This window comes from Homo sapiens, chromosome 18, assembly GCF_000001405.40.
Source record: "Homo sapiens chromosome 18, GRCh38.p14 Primary Assembly".
Taxonomy (NCBI): Eukaryota; Metazoa; Chordata; class Mammalia; order Primates; family Hominidae; genus Homo; species Homo sapiens.
Window position 1 is genome coordinate 47,185,161 of NC_000018.10, and position 16,692 is coordinate 47,201,852.

General features: G+C 38.3%; 1 annotated feature.

The window, feature by feature from the left end:
* Positions 6,858–7,152: an enhancer, noted in NCBI's record as "tiled region #3693; K562 Activating non-DNase unmatched - State 13:Ctcf". NCBI's record gives its function as "activates a minimal TATA promoter and a strong SV40 promoter by Sharpr-MPRA in K562 cells {active_cell/tissue: K562}" and the evidence as "EXISTENCE:reporter gene assay evidence [ECO:0000049][PMID:27701403]".

Genomic DNA, 16,692 nt, shown 5'->3' on the forward strand with positions numbered 1-16,692 from the left:
AACAATGTATTGCAAAGGCAAAATAATATTTTGAAAGTTAAGTGCAGAATAGACAGTATACCCTGAGAGACAGAGTTCAGGGCAGGTTGCTCGTAAGGATGAGATAGTGAAGACTGGCACTAGGGAATTCCCTTTCTGGGAGTCTTCCATGATTATTCGTAAAGATGTGGGAAGAGGTGTTACTAGTAAGCATGGTGAGTGGTCCTCTGGGTGCCCATGTACAGTAGCCATACATGCTTGTTCATACATTGCATGTCTCATTAGCATTTTAAATCTCCACCCAGGAGTGTGTTTTATAGTATTATAATGAGCAAAGGGTCAGTCTGAAGACAGGTAAAAATCAAAATGCATATGCTCTTTACAGGGGAAATTCCCTTCTGGAGATAGCTTGTTTGAATGAGCTGGACTACAGTGCAAATGCTGGGGCCTATGTTGACTGTATGGTCACCACGGTGGCTGTGTTCTGAGGACATGGTCACTTCCTTGACTACCTGTCCTGCCTCAACTCCAGGGGAAGCATGAGAGACATGTAGAACAGAACCAAATCACCACAGTCAAGCCCAATCTAGACTGACCAACTGTCACCCAACCACAGATCTGTGAGAATAGATGATTATTGTTTTAAGTCACTACATTTTGAGGTTGTTTGTTCCATAATATTTTGAAACAACAGATATCTCTTTACTGTATCTACACTCACTTGGTAATCTAATTTATTCTAATGGTTTAAAACATGTCATTACCCTAAAGACTACCAAATTTATATCCCCTACCCAGAACTTACCCATGAACTCTTGGCTGATATTTGCAGCTGACTACCACCTGGGTATTTAATTAACATCTCAAACTTACCTTGTCCCAAACTGAACTCCTGATTTTCCTTCTGAAACCTACTTCTCCTGCAGTCACCACATACAGCCCATCTGCAAATGCTGTTGATTTAACATCAATATATTTTCAAATCTGACCATTTCTCATCCACTAAAATCCTGGACTAAGTCACCATCACTCTTGTGTAGGTAGTGCAATAGACTCCTAACAGGTCTCTGCACATCCCCTTTTGCCTCTCTACAATTTATTCTCCCCAGAGCAGCCCGAATATTTCTTTTAAAGTCAAGTAATGAAAGCAATTTTTTTGTTATGAGAACTGTGTCTTTTGTCCTTTAGAAATTTTCACATTCTGGATTTTGCTGATTGTATCTGCATAACCCTGACTAATTTAAATGCCATCCACAATACCTGAATCATTGGTTAAAAAAATAATAATAAAAGCACTTGCTGATTGAAGAAGAAAATAGTCACTAATTGAAATGACTAAAAGCTTTTACTAACTCAATTTTAAAAATCAGGTATGGGGTAAAGAAAAATGTTTCACAAGCCAGATATTAGAATAATTCTTCAAAAAATCTGCTGGCTTTGCTTTCTTTCTCTTCCTATTTTTAAATTTCAGTATCTCTATTCCTGCATTCATTATAAAATAGTTCATCAAGATAAGGCTGATTCATTTTATTAAAAATTTAAAACCTTGAAGACTGACAAAAATGGATTATGGTTTTTAACATTTTTATCCTGGTAATATATTTTAATAGATATATATTTTATTGTCTGTGTCTGAGATATGAATCAATGATGACTGAGGTATGTTTGTTTTTAATCCTGTTATTTACAATAGCAGCCTTGAGATTAAATGGGTTTATGGCAGCAGAATTCACCCAAATGGATTCTATTTGAGGTAAGCATTGGACCAAAATAGGAAAATCCTACAAGAAGAGCCTCATTCATGTTTATGGATTCATACAAGCTATTCCTGGTATGAGGCTCAAATGAAACCATTTGCAAGCTGAAAGCTTGTACATTATGAAGTGTTTCTGGAAATAGGGCTCTTGGAAATGGAAAGTTTCTTTAAAAAGTAAAAATGAGTCACTGCATCTATTTTAAAAGGGGATTAATCTCAAATGGCTACATATAGGTGACTAGTCTTAGTTTTAAAAAAAACCATCTAAGTAAATAAAGTCAGAATAAAAACTAGAGAAACTACTTACTTTAATGCTTATCATTTCTTCATTCATTTGTTCATTCTTTCATTCAATGAGAATTTATTGAACTTCTAAGACGGTGTTACATCATGCAAGGGGTTGGATGAGGTGCAGTAGGCTAAGCACAAATAATAATCAGATACGTTCCTGCTCTGATGAAAATGATCAAATAGTAAGAAAAATGTGCCATAGAATGCAAGGAGTTAGAAAGCAGTAAATGCTCAGTGCTTAACAAAGGGAAAGTGAGAAGAAAAGAGAGTTTAGGTCAGTGTCTTCCAAACTTGACTGATCATCAGAATCATCTAGGGATTTTTTAATACACATAATTGTTTTCCAGTTTAAGATGGTGCACCAAATGCATGTATTTCTCTTCACTCTTTCCTGAGCTTCCATTAAATTAGAAATAAAGAGAAACATATTTGTAATAGCAAAGATATGGAGAAACATAAGCAATTTGAACAATCTCTGGAAGACAAAAAGTGGCAGGAAGTATATCAATAGACGATACACAGTAGAGAAAGCTATAGCCCAGAATGAGCCCGGAAGGGGTTGCAGTGGAGGTGGAAGTCATTGCCCTGAAAAATTTCACAAAAGCTCCCAATTCAGAGTTGGCAGGTACAACAGAGATCCAGCAGAGAAGCTGAGCTGAAAACAGATGGATCAATTGGGGATCTGTATATGCAATAGTCAGCCTTCTCGGCACTGACTCCCAACCCGCTTGGACAAGATAACAAACAGTATGGCATTTGCTACTGCGCAAGATAGAAAGTACTTTCCTCTTAGGAAATTAAACTATCGAGGAGAGCTAGGGTTGTTCTTATTGTGGCATTTGGGAGGCTGTTAGCTTGACTACGGATTCCCTACTAGGTCAATCCACCGCTAAACTGCTGGTTTCATGCTTTCACAAGTTCACAGAGCTTCCAGAACTCACGCTCCTTATTATTAAATACAAATAGGCAATCAGGACATGTAATGAAAACCAGCACAAGAACAAGAAGACTAGAATGAAAAATAAGTGAAATTGGCCAGGTGCAGTGGCTCATATCTGTAATCCCAGCACTTTGGGAGGCAGACGGGCAGATCACTCAAGCCCAGGAGTTCAAGAGCACCCTGGGCAACATGGCAAAACCCCGTCTCTACACAAAATTTTAAAAATAATTTAAAATTAAAAAAATAAGTAAAACTAACTTCAGAAGGGGGAAGAGATAATTCAGAAAAATGTCTAATTAGTGATAATAAAAGTTATTTAAGTGGCATTTAAGCAAAGGGTTTTCCCCCAGAAATTTTTATAAAAGAACAACCAAAAAAAGGAAAGAATTCTCTCAAAATTAAAAGCTTGATAGCCCACCAGAGAGGTTCATTGGAAGCTGAGGAAATCTCTAAAAATATGGAAAAAAAAGCATACAGACAGCAAATATGGGATAAAAAGATAGAAAACAGTAAAAATGAGAGTTTTATAAGGACAGAATGCAAGACAGAAAATAATAATAAAAATTTCCAGAGATGAAAAGAGCATGAGTGTTCAAACTGAAAAGACCTACTAGGTGCCAAGTAGGCTAAATCATTTTTTAAATTTTCTTTACCTGGACCCATCATCATGAAATTTCAAAGCATCTTATTAAAGAGAAGATGCTGAAAGCTTCAAAGGGGGAAAAATGTTATCTATAAAGAAATAAGAAATCAACTCGCCCCAAACGTAGACAACGGCACACTTCTTCCCAAATTTTGAGGGAAAATAATTTGAATTTAAAATTCTACAGCCAGCTGGGTGCGGTGGCTCATGATTGTAATCCTAGCACTTTGGGAGGCTGACATGGGAGGATCATTTGACCCAGGAGACTGAGGCACATTGAGCCGTGATCATGCCACTGCACTCCAGCTCGGACTACAGAGCGAGACCTTGTCTTAAAAAAATAAAAACAAATTTTAAAATAAATAAAATTCTATAGCCAAATTATCTACTAAATAAAATTTTATAGCCAAATTATCTACTAAAGATTTTAAAAACAAAAGCAAAACTAACATTTTCGAAACAAAAATTATTCAATTTTTTTTTTCTTTTGAGACAGGGTCTCACTCTGTCACCCAGGCTGGAGTGCAGTGGCATGCAAGCTCAGCTCACTGCAACCTCCACCTCCCAGGTTCAAGTGATCCTCCCACCTCTCAGCCTCCATAGTAGCTGGGACTGCAGGCACACACTACCACGCCTGGCTAATTTTTTTTTTTTTTTTTTTTTTTTTTTTAGAGAAGGGGTTTCGCCATGTTGCCCGGGCTGGTTTTGAACTCCTGAGCCAAAGGGATCCTCTCACCTTGTCCTTCCAAAGTGCTGGGTTTACAGGCGTGAGCCACTGTGCGTGGCCAAAAAGGATTTTAAGCATGTGGAAGACTCATCAAATTTTTATTTAATTGTCAACTATTTATTAAGTACCTATTTTGGCATTATCTTAGGTAATAGTAATACAACAAGAAAGACTGGTAGGTTCATTTATTCTTAAACCCAGTGGCACCATACAAATAACTGGCAGAGTTATCTGTTGGTATTGGTGGAGCTAATATACCTTGGATCTGGAGCAAAGCTACATAATATATGGGAGATTGAAAGTCAAAAAGCATCTGTTTGTATAAGCAGAGTGGATGCAGACTGTGAAGGCAGAGGGTTGAGGGGGGAGTGATAATGAATAGAACAAAGCTCAGGAAAGATTAGTTTGTTTGGCTGCATTTCTGTATATTGAGTATTCTGATAGTTCTCTACAAACTTGCATACAATTTTAGAACATTTCAGGCATCCAAATCATCTACATTAGAAAACACTTAACAGAGGCAGCTGCATTTCTTGAGCCAAGAAGAGTACAATTTAGGATAGAGACTATTTGTTCCTGCCCTAAAGGAGTTTGCAGTCTCACTGGACATGCATAAGACAGAAATAGCAATTAAAAAAACCCCAAAAACCCAAGGTGGTGCATAAGAAGGCCCAAGTGCAGAAAACCAAGTACCCTTACAAGATTCAGAGAAGGAAGAAAATATAAGGGTTTGGAGAACCAGGGCTGGGGTGGACTTGAGCTGTATCTTGAGGGTTGGGCACAACTTAAGATGTTACTGAAATGCCAGGGATATGGTCTAGGTCTTGCTGCTCAATGCACAGAATGCTAATCACTGAATCAACAAGTATTGCCAAGGAAGAAGGCTTTAATCAGGTACTGTAGCTATAGCCAAGGAGAATGGGAGATAAAGTTCCAAATCTATCTTCCAGACTGACCAAAATTGGGATGTGTATATATTGAAGGAGACAGGAAAACAGGAACTAAGGAGGGGTAAGGAAGCAATCACAATGAATGAGGGGTCTGGCATCTCATTGTCTGGATGCAATGATCTAGTAAGTTTCAGTTGCTTTTCTGAGGGTCAGTTTCCTGAGGAAGGAACTCAGTTAAAGTAAGTTTCAAGTTTTAAGATGGAGGGTCAATTTCTATGTTTACTTAAAAACTTGTAAATATTATTTCTATGGGGCAGTTGGGCCAGTTTCAAAGAGAGGAAGGAAGGAGGGCCTTCTTAGCGGGGAAATGGTGTCACCAAAGGCAAGAACATCAGGAAAGGGGGCCAACATATGGAAAAAGTCCTGATATGAAATGGCAATGTAGATTGGATCCACATTATATAAGACATTGAACGACAGGTAAAGATTTGAGTTTTATTTTGTAGACAATAGGTAGCATCAAAAATTTTCAAGATAAAAGTGGTGGTATGAAACATTAGGCCATATATTTCTTTGTAGTATTAACTTTAAGCTTTTGGCTATGCTGCTTGAGAATGTTATCCTAATTCAATTTGGTTCTGGACCAGCTACATGGGTCAATTAGCTTTGGCTTATTGAGAGTTTGGAATAAAAAGTTCTGTTCCTGAAGATGGAACACCCATCTGTTGTTGCCAAGATTTCTGTTCCCTGTTACTTAATGTTAAAGAAGGAAACCTCTTAGGAGTTCTGAGAATTAATCAGTATCTCCTAGGGGCTTTCTTACGTCTGTTGTTATTTATGTAGCTTATTAAGGAAAAGATCTTTCTTTATAAATATCACCTTATTCATCTTTGTTGAGGTAACCATGTATGCACTCAGGAAAAATAGTTGGGGTTTGAGAGTAGAGGAAGAAACCAAAGCATATTAAGAAGGATGTTTATAGATGTTAGAATTTGGGGACTCTGAGGACCCTGAAAACCTGTTATATTATGGAAGAGCTTTGTATTTTCTAAGTAATAGAAAAACCACACGATTTTCTTCTAATATACTTTTCCCTGAGCAGGAAACACAGATTTTTTTCTCTTCTGGCTTCAGACATAGCCTAAGTAAAAGTGAGACCACAGGCCAGGCACGGTGGCTCACGCCTGTAATCCTAGCACTTTGGGAGGCAGAGGCGTGAATCACGAGGTCAGGAGATGGAGACCATCCTGGCTAACATGGTGAAACCCCATCTCTACTAAAAATACAAAAAATTAGCCAGGCGGGGTGGCGGGCGCCTGTAGTCCCAGCTACTCGGGAGGCTGAGGCAGGAGAATGGCATGAACCTGGGAGGTGGAGCTTGCAGTGAGCCGAGATCGCACCACTGTATTCCAGCCTGGGCAACAGAGCGAGACCCCCTCTCAAAAAAAAAAAAAAAGTGAGACCACAGATGGTGTGTTAAGCATTTATTTGTAAAGGTCTATTCAGGTTACTTCAAGCAATGGGAGTTGATTCAAAAATATTTATGACAACAATAAAAACAGAAATCTTGCCTGTATATCCAGACCTCACAAGGACCCAGGAACACCACAGAATGGGGCTCACAAAGCAGGAATGGAGCTTGGGAAGTGACATAGCCAGTGAGCTTCCAGCCCGGCCATGGGTCTGTAGCTCCCTCTGGTTGTGTATGCCATTTCTACTGACTTTGGTGTTGCTTGTCTCTGTTTTGACTAGGCCAGGCTCTGGCAATCACCTTCTCTTGACTCCTGTTTGCCTTGTTGCTTCAGATGACTCACAGCCTCTGCTTCCTCTCAGTTGCTGCTTATTAGTTACTCTTCTTGCCTCATGGCTTCTGCCTATTGCTTCTTTCTCTTTGTGTCTTGGTTTCTGCCCTCCCGCCACCAGTTACTCACTCTATATGTCTTCAATTCAGATTCCCTGAATTCAAATGCAGGTCTAGGGCCAAGGGCACAGCAGAGGGTTTAATATTTCAATCGGACAAGGAGAAAAGTCATCTTTTGAGACTGAAGGGAAAAGGTGAGGTAGATACTTCTGTAGGTGAGAACAAGAAGTTCAGAGGTCAAGTCTGATAACTTTTGTCTCAGTAGTCAAGTAGGGGATAGCACTGTCTGCTGAGAATGAGGGCCTAGGCTTGAGAAAGGAGATTGTAGAGCACTGTTTTGGACTAGCTTTAGATGGAGAAGAACTGACCTGAAACAGGTGAAAACATTGACAGGTGAAGCTGAGAGCTGAGGTGTGAGAGTAGATGAGACCAATCTGCCAATTCATGTAGCTTGTGTGATTTCTTCTTGACTGTGTGATTTCAGTCCTGCCTAACCTCCACCCCCACCCCCTGGGTAGGAATGATGGGGTCAGGTAAGAGGAGAGCTCAGAAGATCAACTACTTGCATTGGCAGAAAAGAAAAGTTAGAAAGAAGCTGAGAAGAGGGAGAGATCGGGGACTGGAAGTCTTGAAGAGGTGGATGAAAATGCAGAAAGAATGGGTGATTGGGATTAGAAAGTAGGATATTTGAATGTAGCATTTCAGAGGTGATGACATGGTGTGACATGTATGGGAGATTAAATATGGCCACAACTTCTTTGCAGCTCCTCTTTCCACTCTGAATCTGAGCTGGCCTTGGCACTTGTTTTCATCAATAGAATGCAGATGCAGTGATGTTGTGCAAATTCTGGAACCTAAACCTCAAGAGGCCTTATAGCATCTGCCTTTGCTCTTGGAATGCTGCCCTGGCACCCCCATGACATGAGAAAACCCAGAATGAAAGACCATGGAAAGAGAGTCCCAGTTATCCCAGTTGTCTCAGCGTAGCCCACTTCCCACCCACCTGCCAGGAGTGAGCCCAGTGGGACCAACAGAACTGCCCAATCTGCCTACAGACTCATGAAAATTAATACATCATTGTTTTAAGCCACTAAGGTTTACAGTGATTTATTTCAGCAATAGTTAACTAAATCCCATGGGAGTACCCTAATGTGATATAGCTTCCTTTGGCTAGAGCCTCCTTCCCCCATCTTTGCCACCCATTCCCCTGCACTCACACTTTATTTGACCAAATGTTCAGTCCATGTATCACCCCCTCTAGCCAAAGTGTACCAAGAAGGATGAAAATAAGATGTTAGAAAGAAGCCTTTCCTCATCCTCCAGTCCACGTCAGATGTTCTTTATGTTTCCAAAGCATCTTCTGTCTATCTCTACCACAGCACTCCTGCTGCATCATAAATATTTGTATTCTTCACTGCACAGCATGTATCTTGAATGTAAGCTTTCCTAAGCCCAGTACCTTGCACCATTCCTGGCACCTAGCTGTCATTCAGTTGTTTATTGAAGAAATAATCCAATATTTTACACTTCAGATGAAATCTTGCTCCTTCACTTACAGAGAAATAGCCTTGCCAATAGTATAACATGACAATGACCACAGTATCCATACCTAAAAATACACTTTGTGTAGTAACGGAAGAGATGAATACTCATGAATGGTTTTACCCTCCTCCTTGCTAATCAAAGTCTTATTGGTACAGATTAAATCTCACCTCCTCCATGAAGCATTGCCTACTAGTGCTATCCGACACTCACTCACTCTGTTGTACTCACTCACTTAGGCTTCTTTATTGCCTGGCTTACTGATTCACAGCATGAGTTTGGGAATCAAAGAGCCTTAGGTTCAAATCCCAGGTGGACTATTCATTTTATTTATTGAACACATCACTTGAACCCTCTGATACCCACTTTCCTGATCTGTAAAATGGTTGTAAGAATCCCTATCTTATGGGGTTATTGTATTATATAATAAAGTATTTAGTACTTGATACTTGGTAAGTTCTTAATAAATGGTAGTTATTATTCGTGATTCTTCCTGAAAGGATCTGTAGGGAGGTCTGTCTGTTCCATGACCCTAAGCAGAACCACAGTTATGCCATCCTGTAGAGCTGCCTTTAGCATTTCAGAGAAGGGTTATTGGTAAGATGGCACAGTTTCAGAATCTTACTCATTGAAAATCTTTCCTAATGCATGGTGAATGACTACAAGTCTGGGTTTGCTTGAGGATTGTCATTAGTTGAAGAGGTGACACTTTAGGGGCATTTATCTGGATTTCTTTAGTATCTGCTTTGAGGAAGGTCTTTCTCTTTGTAGCAAAACAACTATTCTGTTTTTTTATTTGTTTTGTTTTGTTTTGTTTTGTTTTGTTTTGTTTTAAGATGGAGTCTTGCTCTGTCGCCCAGGCTGGAGTGCAGTGGCGCAATCTCAGCTCACTGCAAGCTCCGCCTCCTGGGTTCATGCTGTTCTCTTACCTCAGCCTCCCGAGTAGCTGGGACTACAGGCACCCGCAGCCACGCTAATTTTGTTATTGTATTTTTAGTAGAGATGAGGTTTCACCATGTTAGTCAGGATGGTCTTGATCTCTTGACCTCGTGATCCACCCGCCTCGGCCTCCCAAAGTGCTGGGATTACAGGTGTGAGCCACCATGCTCAGCCAACTATTCTTTACTAGTGCTGACAGCTCCATTTTGGGCTCTTGTGGCTTGAAAAAATTGATAACCTAATCATTTCCCATTTGCTGCTTCTAACAACCCACTTCACATGATACTATTGTGCGGGAATGTGCAGAAATGGAGATGACGTTTAGTGAAGAGCCCTGGGACCCTCAGAGGAAGAAGCCATCATCATGAGGTCATCTTTGTGGCTGAAAGATACAAAGACCCCTAAATTCATAGAATGAGAGGCTCTAAGCTTTCCTTTATGGATCATGAAGGGGAACTAAGGGGAGTAGCTCTTTCCAGAATGGATTAGCTTCAATGTTCCAGATGAAGAAGACAAAGAGGAGAGGGGGTTGCAGAAGAAGGAGAGGAAGTTGAAGAGGAAGACAAAGAGGAGGCAGAAAAACAAAAGAGGAAGGTGTAGGAGGAAACAGCAGAATTGATCAAGCAGAGGAAAGAATCAGTGAGCTCAAAAATAGGCCATATGAAAATACATAGAGGTGAAAAAAGAATGAAAAGAAATGAAGATTGCCTACAAGATATAGAAAATTACCTCAAAAGACTTCAAATGTAAGAATGATTGGTGTTCCAGAGGGAGTTGTGCAAGAGCAGGGAGCAGAAAGTTTACCCAAGGAAATAGTAATAGAAAACTTTTCAAAACTTGAGAAAGATATAAATGTCCAGGCACAGGAAGGTCAGAGAATAACAAACAGTTTTGACCCAAGTAAGACTATCCCAATGTAATAATCAAAGTCTCAAAAGTCAAGGACAAAGGAGGATGCCAAAAGCAATGATTGAAAAGAAGCAAATAACATGTAAAGGAGCTCTATTTCATCTGGCAGCAGACTTCTCAATGGAAGCCACATAGGCCTGGAGGGAGTGGCTTGGCATTTTCAAAGTGCTTAAACATAAAAAATTGCCATTTAAGAATACCATATCCAGCAAAGCTATCTTTTCAATATAAAAGATTAATTCTTTCCCAAGCAAAAGCTGAAAGAATTTACTACCACCAGACCTGTCTTACAAGAAATGCTAAAGAGAATTCTTCAACATGAAAAAATAATCCACTGTATTAGTCCATTGTCACACTGCTATAAAGACATACCCAAGACTGAGTAATTTATAAACAAAAGAGGTTTAATTGATTCACAGTTCCACAGGCTGTACAGGAAGCATGGCTGCAGAGGCCTCAGAAAACTTAAAATCATTGCAGAAAGTGAAGAGGAAGCAGGCACATGTTTACATAGATGGCAGGAGAGAGAGAGAGTGAAGGGGGAAGTGCTACACACTTTCAAACAACCAGATCTCATGAGAACTCACTACCATGAGAACAGCAAGGAGGAAATCTGCCGCCGTGATCCAATTACCTCCCACTAGATCCCTCCCCGAACATTAGATATTACAATTCAACATGAGATTTAGGTGGAGACACAGAGCCAAACCATATCACCCACTAATGTGCACTAAGAAAACATTTGAAGGTATAAAACTTACTGGTAAAAGTGAGTACACAAACACATTCAAAATATTCTAATACTGTAATTGTGGTGTGCAATCCACTCATAACTCTAGTATGAAGCCTAAATCTATCAAAAACAGTAGTAGATGCAGCAACCTGTTAAGAAATAGACAATGTAAAAATATGTAGATTGAGACAACCAAAAATCAAAGTGTTGTGGGGATGGAGTTAAAGTGCAGAGTGCAAAGTATAGAGTTACAGTGAAATGATGAAAAAAGATATCCTATGCAAGTGGAAAGCATAAAGAGCAGGAGAAGCCATGCTTAACTCAGATAAAACAGACTACAAGTCTGGCTGGGCGCAGTAGCTCACGTCTGTAATCCCAGCACTTTGGGAGGCTGAGGTGGGTGGATCACTTGAGGTCAGGAATTCGAGACCAGCTGACCAACATGGTGAAGCCCCATCTCTACTAAAAATACAAAAATTAGCTGGGTGTGGTGGCACATGCCTGTAATCCCAGCTACTCTGGAGGCTGAGGCAGGAGAATCACCTGAACCCAGGAGGTGGAGATTACAGTGAGCCGAGATCATGCCACTGCACTCCAGCCTGGGTGACAGAGCAAGACTTAGCCTCAATTAAAAAAAAAAAAAAAGAGTAGACTATAAGAACTCAAAGAAGACTGCTGTGTAATAATAAATGGGGTCATTTCAGCAAGAGGATATAACAATGTAATGATAAAGGGGTCATTTCAGCAAGAGGATATAACAATGTAATGATAAAGGGGTCATTTCAGTAAGAGTATATAACAATTATAAATATGTATGCACCTAACACCAGAGTATCCAAGTATATAAAGCAAACATTAATAGATTTAAAGGGAGAGACAGACTGCAGTACAGTAATAGTGGAGGACTTCAACACCCCATTCTCAGTAGTAAGACAGATCATCCAGACAGAAAATCATCAAAGACACATTACATACTAGACCAAATAGGCATAATGGACATTTACAGAACATGTCATCCAGCTACTGCAGAATACATATTCTTTTCATCGGCACATGGAAGATTCTCTGAATAGACTATATCTTAGGCCACAAAAGAAGTCTCAACAAATTTTAAAAAGCAGAAATCATATTAAGTATCTTTTCTGACCTCAGTGGTATAAAACTAGAACTCAATAATAAGAGGAACCTTGGAAACTCCACAAACACATGGAAATTAAACAACATGCTCTTGAATGATCAATGGGTCAATGAAAAAATTAAGAAGAAAACTTTAAAAAATTATTGAAAGAAATGAAAATAAAAATACAATATACCAAAATCTATGGGATACAGGAAAAGCAGTACTAAGAGGGAAGCTTATAGCAATAAATACCTATATCAAAAAAGTGGAAAGACTTTAAATATAAGGACCTAGAAAAGCAAGGGCAAGCTAAATCCAAAATTAGTTGAAGTAAAGAAATAGTAAAGATCAGAGCTGAAATAAATAAAATTGAGACTAAAAAGTCAATCAATATGAAGATCAACAAAACAAAAAGTTGGTTTCTTGAAAAGATAAACAAAATTTAAAAATATTTAGCTAGACTAAGCAAAAAAGAAAGAAGACTCAAATAAAATCAGAAATGAAAAAGAAGACATAATAACTGAGAGCACAGAAATACAAGGAATCATTAGAGACTATTATGAACAACTATACACCAATAAAAATCCTAGAAGAAATGGGTAAATTCCTGGACATATACAACCTACCAAAATTGAACCACGAAGAAACAGAAAACCTCCACAAACCAATAATGAGTAACAAGATTGAAGCCATAATAAAAAGTCTCCCATCAAAGCCCAGGACCTGATGGTTCACTGCTGAATTCTACTAAACATTTGAAGAACTAATATCAATTATACTTAAATCCTTCAAAAAAAATTGAAGAGGAGGTCAGGCAGGGTGGCTCCCAGCACTTTGGGAGGTTGAGATGGGTGGATTGCTTGAGCTCATGAGTTCAAGACCAGCCTAGCCAACAGGGTGAAACCCTGTCTCTACCAAAAATACAAAAATTAGCTAGGTGTGGTGGCATGTGCCTATGGTGCCAGCTACTCAGGAGACGGAGGGGGTAGGATGGTTTGAGCCTAGGAGGTGGAGGTTGCAGTGAGCCGAGATTGTGCCACTGCACTCCAGCCTGGGTGACAGAGCCAGATGTCAAAAAAAAAAAAAAAAAAAAAAAGAGAGAGAGAGAGAGAAAAACTGAAGAAGGGGGAATATTTCCATACTCATTATACGAGGCCAGTATTACCCTGATGCCAAAACCAGACAAGGACACAACAACAACAAAGAAACTACAAGGCAGTATCACTGATGAACATAGATGCAAAAATCCTCAATAGAATATTAGCAAACTGAATTGAACAACATGTTAAAAAGATAGTTTACCATGATCAAGTGGGATTCATCCCAGGGAGGCAAGGATGGTTCAACATACACATATCAATAAATGTGATACATCACATTAACAGAACTAAGAACAAAACTCATATGATCACTTCAATAGATATTGAGAAAGCATTCAGTAAAATTCAACATCCCTTTATGATTTAAAAAAAAAACTCTCAAAAAACTGGGTAGAGAAGGAAGATACCTCGAGCCTGGGTAACATGACAAAACCTCATTTCTACTAGAAATACAAAAAGTTAGCTGGGCATGGTGGTGCGTGCCTGTAGTCCCAGCTACTTGGGAGACTGAGGTGGGAGAATCACTTGAGCCTGGGAAGTTAAGGCTGCAGTGAGCTGAGATTGCACCACTGCACTCCAGCTTGGGCAATGGGAGTAACACCCTGCCTAAAAAAAAAAAAAGAAAAAAGAAAGAAAGAAAGGAAGAAACATATCTCAAGATAATGAAGGCCGCATATGACAAACCACAGCTAACATTAACGGGGACAAATTGAAAGCCTTTCCTTTAAAATCTGGAACAAGACAAGTATGTCCAGATTCATCACTTTAATTCAACGTAATACTGGAAGTTATGGCCAAAGAAATTAGGCAAGAGAAAAAAATAAAGGACATTCAAATTGGAAAGAAAGAAATCAAATTAACCTTGTTCACAGATGACATAATCTTTTATTTAGAAAAATCTAAAGACTCTACCAAAAAAACTTAGAACTGAATAACAAATTCACTAAGATTGCAGGATACAAAATCAATATACAAAAATCAGTAGCATTTATACACATCAATAGCAAACAATCTGAAAAAAATCAAGAGAGCAATCTCATGTACAATAGCTACAAAATATATAAAATACCTAGGAATTAATTTAATCAAAGAAATGAAAGATCTATAGAAGGAAAACTATAACACACTGATGAAAGAAATTGAAGCGGACCCCAGGAAATGGAAAGATATTCTACATTCATGGATTAGAAGAATTAAAATTGTTAAAATATCAATACTACCCAAAGCAATTTACAGACTCAATGCAATCTCTGTCAAAATACCAATGACATTCTTCAAAGAAATAGAAAAAGCAATCATAAAATTTATGTGGAACCATTCTAAGGTGTACTAGTCAGTGGCATTTAATATACTCACAATATTGTAAAACTACCACCTCTGTCTAGCTCCAAAACATTTTAATCACTCCAAAAGAAAACTCTGTACCCATTAAGCAAGCTCTCTCAATTGTCTCCTTATCCCTAAACAGACACTGGAAACCACCAGTTTGCTTTCTGTCTCTATGGATTTACCTATTATAAATATTACATAAAAATAGAATCATGCAATATGTGACGTTTTATGTCTGACTTCTTTCACTTAGGATATATTTTTAAGTTTCATTCATGTTGTAGCATGTGTCAATACTTCATTTCTTTTCATGATTGAGTAATATTCCATTTTATGGATAAACCACATTTGGGTTGTTTTCACCTTGTGACTATTGCAAATAGTGCTGCTGTGAATATTTTTATGCAAGTATTTGAGTACTTGTTTTCAAAACTTTTGTGTATATACCCAGGAGGGGAGTTGCTGGGTAATATGGTAATTCTGTTTACTTTTCTGAGGAACCGTCAAACTGCTTATGGAGTGGCTGCACACCAGTTTGCATTCTCACTAGCAATGTATAATAGTTCCAATTTTCCTACATCTTCACCAATACTTGTTTTTGTTTTTTGATATTGGCCATTCTAGTGGATGTGAAATGGTATTTCATTGTGGTTTTGATTTGCATTTGCCTGATAACTCATAGTGTTGAACATCTTTTCATGTATTCAGTGTTCATATAACTTCTTTGGGGAAATATCTATTCAAGTCTTCTGTTCATTTTTAAAATTTGGTTATTTGTCTTTTTATTATCATGTTGTAAGTGCTCTTTATGTGTTCTGAAAGCAAGTCCCTTATCAGATATATTATCTGCAAACATTTCCCTTTACTGTGAGCTGGTCTTCTTTTACCTTCTTGATGTTATCATTTGTAGCACAAAAGTTTGTAACTTTAAGGAAGTCAAATTTATTTTTTCTTTTGTCACTAGTGTTTTTGGTCTTGTATGCGTGAAAACATTGTTTGACCCAAGGTTATGAAGATCTACTTTTATATTTTCTTCTAAGAGCTTTATAGTGTTAGCTCTTTGACAGAAGACACTTTGAATAGCACTGTCTTGGAGTGTTTATCTTACTAGAAACATATAATACTTAGTCAAAGAAATCATGCTAGTTGTGAAATTTCAGCTTCAAGTGAGATTAGCGAGGGGAGATATTTTTGTTTAAGAGGGGTCTTCCAGCACCCTTCAGATTGTGAAAGTCTGGGCACTGCCAACTCACCTGTGTAGGGAGCAATGTAATGGTTAAAAGCAGAGATTTTTGAAGTCACAATCGCCCTAGTTTCAAACTCCTACTTTTCTACTTAATCAGCTGAGTAGCTTAACTCCTTTAAATTTCAATTAAATAGTCCCTACTTCATAGGGTTGTTGAGAGGATTAAATGAAATAATGCATTAAGCATTGTGCATAAACTTAGCACAATGTTCATCTTACTGTAATCACTCAATGAAAGTTGGCTGCTGGTATTATTATTGGCTGCCAAGTAATTGGATGATAGTGCCATATAAGCAGAGGGATGAAAAAGCAACTACACATAAAATTACAGTTTCACCAATGATAGTTTAGTACTGAATTCAAACAGTATTTAACCGTGTTTTAAAACACACAATTTGGGGGAAATGTTGATTCTTTAAAAAGTCAATCCCTAGAGGGCCATAAAAGCTATTTCAATCACTGTAACTAATTACAAGGAAGTATAAATCAATAAACTTTGCTAAATGGTCTAAAATATAGTAAAGAAAACTGTCATTAACAATCATCCAGGAAGCCACTGTCCTTAATAGTGAGATGATGTAAAAGTTGGATGTGAAGAATGAATTTTATTATTTGAAAACTCCAGGTGTTAACAATGCTTTTAGAGAAGTTCTTAATTCAGCACAGAGTCATGGCTTTTCTGAATGA